The following is a 6,337-nucleotide window of genomic DNA, read 5'->3' as shown; positions in this document are numbered from 1 at the left end:
ATTCAAGACCAGCCTGGACAACAAAGCAAAACTCACCTCTACCAAAAAAAAAAAAATTAGCTGGAGTGGTGAGTGCCTGTAATCCCAGCTACTCTAAAGGCTGAGGCTGGAGGATCATTTGAGCCCAGGAGGTCGAGACTTCGGTGAGCCATGATCATGCCAGTGCACTCCAGCCTGGACAACAGAGCAAGAACCCAACTCTTTAAAAAAGAAGTGGTAGAGACTATGATGGGCTAGAGATAGAACGTCCAGTCTAAATGGCACAGCAGTTACTCAGCTCCAGTGGCTTGTTGCCAAATCTCCCCATTGTTAAGGAAAAAATATTGTAAACTTGACGTTTATGTGAAATCTAATTTTGTTTCGCTGTAGCAGCTGTAGTAGACTGCAACCTATGGCCACAAATTCCTCCCATCTCTATCTGCCCACCCTTTACAATGGGACATTGCTGCTCCCCCATCAGAGATGAATTCTATTCCCCCTCCTCCCCGTTCTAGCCTGGCCTTGTGACTTGTGTTGGCCAATAAGATGCAGTGGGAGTAACATTTGTAACACTGAGTCGAGACCTCAAAAAGTCTTGCAACTTTGACTTTGAGCCTCTTGGAATGCTCTGTTCTTGTGTAAAGAGGCCCAGGATAGCCGGAAGGAAGGAAATTGAGATACCGGCAGAAAGAAGTCGCATGGGCAGACAGAAGGAAACTCATCTCAGCCATTCCAGCCGCCCCAGCTGAGGCTTCACACTTGGGAGTGAGGCTGTCTAGGACCAACTAGCTAAACTGCCATCTGAATGCAACCACATGAGTGTGCCCAGGTGAGACCAGGAGGAGAATCACCAGGTTAAGCCACAGAACTGTGAGGAAAAGTAAATTATTGTGGTTTTAAGCCACTAAGTTGGGGTGATTTGTTACACAGCCATAGATAACAAAGAGAAATAATTAAGGCATCTTGCCAATCAAATGCCTCAAGTCACCAGTTAGTGATCTCTTAGGTGTGAACTGCTTGAGGACAGGAATCATATCTTGTTGATCTTGGTATCCTGAGTGCCTACCATTGCCTGATAATTAACACATAGTAAATCCTTTGTGAACAAATAAATGGAGCTGTAAGAGGAGCTCCTATCACAGCTGCAGCAGCCTTGAGGATAGGGCTTTATCGTATGTGCCTTTCTAATCCCAACAGGCACTAACATTTTCTCCTGCAGTTTCTATAATCCTGTGTTAGTCATGGTTCTCCAAAGAAACAGAACCAATAGCAGAAACAGAGAGAGAGACAGAGAGAGAGATTATGGGAATTGGCTCATGTGATTATGGAGGTCAGGAAGCCCCACAATCTGCTGACTGCAAGCTGGAGAACAAGGAAAGCCAGTAGTGTAATTCAGTCCAAGTTTGAAAGTCATTTCAGCAGCCTGGGGAAGGGTGGTGTCTGTAGCATCTGAACCAATGAACCTCAAAAGATACGGACACATTCATGGGTCAGACAAGGAGAAGTGAGTGAACTGATTGTGCAGAAAACACTAATCTATGTGTGCCCTTCCCTCAAGAACCTGGAGCTCTGATGTCCGAGGGTAAAAGAAGATGGACGACTGGGCTCAAATAGAGATAATTTGCCCTTCCTCTACTTTTTTGTTCTACTCAGGCCCTCAATGTATTGAGTGATGTGGACCCACATTGATGAGGGAAGATCTTCATTTAGTCTACCAATTCAAATGCTAATCTCTTCCAGAAACACTCTCACAGATGTACCCAGAAATAATATTTTACCAGCTCTATGGGCATCACTTAGCCCAGCCAAATTGACACATAAAATTAACCATCACAAATCCTTATTAAAAAAAAAAGTTTGCTCAATGATGAAGTAGTGCAAATAGAATAACGAAATGGAGTGGCTAATGAACAACGGAGCCAAAAAGAATTGTGACATTTTGCTACATGTTGGGAGAACAAGAGAAGTGTTTGCCTTGACCTAATGGAACCTCAAAGAAACAATAGGGAGTCTCGATGGAGGCAGAAAATGAAGTGTAGCCAGATCCACCCCAAACTGGGAAACCCCAAACCAGGCAGGACTATGAGCAGTAGCCAATGGGTGCTAAGTTAGGAAGTGTCCGAGTTTTGAGGATGGAGAAAATAATACAAAAACAACACAAGATAAAATTGAGGCTGGGCACAGTGGCTCATGCCTGTAATCCCAGTACTTTAGGAGGCCAAGGCGGGCAGATCACCTGAGGTCGGGAGTTCAAGACCAGCCTGGCCAACATGGCAAAAACCCACCTCTACTAAAAATGCCAAAAAAAATTAGCCAGGCATGGTGGCATACACCTGTAATCCCAGCTACTAGGAAGGCTGAGGAAGGAGAATTGCTTGAACCCGGCAGGCAGAGGTTGCAGTCATCCGAGATCGTGCCATCGCACTCCAGCTTGGGTGACAGAGTGAGACTCTGCCTCAAAAAAAAATAAATAAATAAATAAAATAAAATTGAAATTTACCTACTCTGTCTTGGAAAAACCTTTGATGCTAGGGACTGGGGGTTGGCAAGGTACCAAGGCTGATCGAGCCCTTGGGCGTCTCTCTTCCTCTGCCCTTTGCCATCAGGGATGAAGAAGACTTCTCTCCAAGGCTGAGCAGCATCTTTCAAAGAAAAAAAAAAAGAATGCAGTAGGGAAAGGGAGTGCGTGGGGGCTAAAAACCAGCCTCATTGTACGAACACTCAGCCCATATTCCCCTCCCTGACTCTACCTTTTGCAGAGAGGACTGGGGGTGGGACATGCATGTCCTATATTCTACCAGGCCACCCTGAGTGGGAGGGTCCCATTCTGCAGGCTCCTCTGCAGGTTGTTCTTTTGAAACATAAACTCCTGGAGTGTTAGAATTGGAAGGGATCTTAGGCACTGTTTGGATCTATCCAACCCCATTCATTTTACTACTTAAGAAGTAAACAGTGTCCAACTGGGAGCATGAATCCCAGAACCTTTGGTTAAAAGTCTGAAGTTCGATCTGTGGCCTGTCTGGCTGCCTCATTTGAAGACTGCCCTAGATGTTTACTTTTCATCTGATTTCACCCATGTGGTGGGGAATTGGCTGCAGTGTTGTGGAAAAGATCGCCGGACCTGGAGTTAGGAAATAGACTTTCAAATCCCAGCTCTGTCTCTGGCAAGCTGTGGAACTCCAGACATTACTTAAACCCTCTGTGCCTCAGTTTCCTGACCTGTGAGATGGGAATAATAACAGGACAGACTTTTCAGGATTGTTGGGAGATGATTAAATAAGATGAGCTATGTATGTAAAGGGCTTGTCAAGCCTCCTGGAGCAGATAATACTCCTTAACGTGTTTTCTTCTTTTGTTTTTTTTTTTGTTTATTTGTTTTTGTTTTTTTGAGACAGAGTCTCTCTGTCACCCAGGCTGGAGTGCAGTGGCACGATCTCAGCTCACTGCAACCTCGGCCTCCCAAGTTCAAGCGATTCTCCTGCCTCAGCCTCCCGAGTAGCTGGGATTATAGGCTTGCGCCACCATGCCCAGCTAATTTTTGTATTTTTAGTGGAGATGGAGTTTCGCCATGTTGGCCAGGCTGGTTTCAAACTCCTGACCTCAAGTGATCCACCCACCTCGGCCTCCCAAAGTGCTGATATTACAGGTGTGAGCCACAGCGCCCGGCCTCCTTAACGTATTTTCTTCTTCTGCTGCTGCTGCTGTTTTTAATCAATTGCTCTGAGCCTTGGTTTAGGATTGCAGCAAATTTAGAATTAAAACATGTAAAGTGGGTGGGCCACAGTGGCTCACACCTGTAATCACAGCACTTTGAAGCTCAGGTGGGTGAATCACGTGAGCTTAGGTGTTTGAGACCAGCCTAGGCAACATGGCAAAACCCTGTCTCTACAAAAAATACAAAAATTATCCCGGCGTGGTGGTGCACACCTGTAGTCCCAGCTACTTGGAGGCTGAGGTGGGAGGATTGCTAGAGCCTGGGAAGCCAAGGCTGCAGTGAGCAATGATCATGCCACTGCACTCCAGCCTGGGCAACAGAGTAAGACCCTATTTAAGAAAAATTTTTTTTTAATTTAAATTTCAACACTTTTTAAGACTCATGGTTAGGTATTTTGTAGAAGGTCCCCCAATCTGGGATTGTCTGGTGTTTTCTCATGAAAAGACTAAGGTTGTTGATTTTGGCAGGAGTAGCACAAAGGTGATGTGCGCTTCTCGTTGCAGTATATGGGGGCACATGATGTCAACATGATTTATTGCTGGTGATCTTCATCTTGACCATTCGGTTCAGGTGGTGTTTGTGAGGTTTCTCTACTGTAAAGTTACTGTTTTTTTCTTTCCATAGTCCGTAAGAAGGAGGTCCCCAAGTCCAGAGCACACTCAAGGCAAGAGGAAATAAGCTGCACCTCCTGGAGAAAGGGAAATCAAAGAATTTGTGATAGTGTGTGAAAACCACTCAGGTATTCATGTATTTTGGGGCAGATACTTGAAGGCTTTGCAAATGTCCTGTTTTTCCTTAAAGTTTTATCTACTGCTTTTAGCATTAATCAATGGATCTTGCCTGTAGCAATTATTATTGTGATGATCTAATACTGATTTTCTATTTTCCTTATTCCTTATACATTTATAATTAGAATTCTTCTGCATTTAGTTCTTCTCTCTCATTTAGTTATTTATTCAAGACTTTATTTACATCAGTATGGATTCATAAAGGTTTATTTTACTCTTGGAGTTATAATCCAATATTATTATCTATTACCGTTGCTCAAACTGTTCCAGATTTGGCCATTGGGAGCTCTTTCAGGTTGGCTCCTGTGTCCTTTTGATATGCCCCTTCCTTCCCTTTTTTTTTTTTTTTTTTTGCACTTCTTTATTTTCTGGCACTAAAAGTTGTTCCAGGATCATCTTATGTGTTCCCTGTCCCAGCTCAAGAATTAACCATTTTTCCAAGGAACCCTGGCTCCTTTATTGGAGAATATTATTTAGAAACCAAGATCTGGGTGCTAAGTACTCTTGTTGCTAATGGGGTATCACTTCTTTTAGGCCCTCTTTGCAGACAAAGCTAACAAATATAAGTATATATACTAACATACATTTTATATATATATATGTGTGTGTGTTTGTGTGTGTGTGTATACCATATCTATATTTATTTCTCTATCTGTTTGTACATACATACACACCATATAGACATCTATGGATTATAAATCCATATAGAGATCTATAGATAGATAAAGATATCTATATGGATCTATTAAAGATATTCTATACTATTGAGTGTACATATATGTATTAAAATGCACATGAATTCATGCTGATATCTCCAGCTCAAATCCAGCACCACCACCATCCTAACACCCCTCTTCTTTCTGTGACAGTGAGAAACCTGCCTCCCACTAGCGACAGTTTATTTACTTATTTGTTCAACACTGGTATGCATAGAAAGCAGTTGCGGAATTGCTAACCTGTAACAGGCTCTTGACAACCCCAAAGATGGCTTGTACTCAGTGTGAACAAAACTGAGTTCTTCATTTCATAACCAACCCAAACCTCTCTTACTCCTTTTCTCCACTCCCTTCTCTCCCCGTCTATACTCTATCACTGTGATTGACACCAGGCACATGGATGCCATCACTGACATCTCTGTGCCTCCCCTCCCACAGCAAATTACCTCATCTAACCTCATCTTTCACCTCTTCTCCCCACCTCACATGCATGGGCAGGCACACACATGCACGAGCACACACATAACACATATACACACATAGTATGCTCCTGCCACTTTCGTTCTCCAACTGTATCAAGCTTTGGGGCATTGTACATGCTGTTCCATCTGCTTGCAACACTTTTCCTCTTCCCACTCCTCCTGTGATTGGCTAACTTCACGTCTACCTCTTTCAGGAAACCATCCCTGACCACTCTCCAAGCCTATGTCAGGAGACCTCATTCCCTTGATATTGTGAGTTTCTCTCCTGTTTTAGCATTTATCTTTTTTTCTTTTTCTTTTTTTTTAAACAGGGCCTCACTCTGTCACCCAGGCTGGAGTGCAGTTTCACCATCTTGGCTCACTGCAACCTCTGCCTCCCAGGCTCAAGTGATCCTCCCACCTCAGCCTCCCAAGTAGTTGGGACTACAGGCGTGCACTACTACACCTGGCAAATTTTTGTATTTTTTGTAGGGACAGGGTTTTGCCATGTTGCCCAGGCTGGTCTCAGACTCCTGGGCTCAAGCGATCTGCCCATCTTGGCCTCCAAAAGTGATGGGATTACAGGCGTGAGCCACTGCACCTGGCCACATTTATCATTCTGTATTCACAATTCTCACTTACTGTTCCAAATACCTGTGAAACAGCATTTCCCAAATT

At 43.7% G+C, this 6,337-nt stretch overlaps 1 long non-coding RNA gene across 1 annotated transcript; it reads left to right on the top strand.

Annotated features, from left to right (window-relative positions):
• Positions 1–543: 543 nt before the first annotated feature.
• Positions 544–6,032, top strand: LOC124903292 (uncharacterized). Its single transcript, XR_007064086.1, has 3 exons — positions 544–808; positions 4,319–4,433; positions 5,992–6,032. It is a non-coding gene; the product is annotated as an uncharacterized LOC124903292 (long non-coding RNA).
• The last annotated feature ends 305 nt before the right edge of the window (positions 6,033–6,337 follow it).

The sequence above is a fragment of the Homo sapiens genome, chromosome 14 (genome assembly GCF_000001405.40).
Source record: "Homo sapiens chromosome 14, GRCh38.p14 Primary Assembly".
Taxonomy (NCBI): domain Eukaryota; kingdom Metazoa; phylum Chordata; class Mammalia; order Primates; family Hominidae; genus Homo; species Homo sapiens.
Note: the sequence above shows the minus strand (reverse complement) of the source record. Positions and strands in the feature narration are given on the sequence as shown.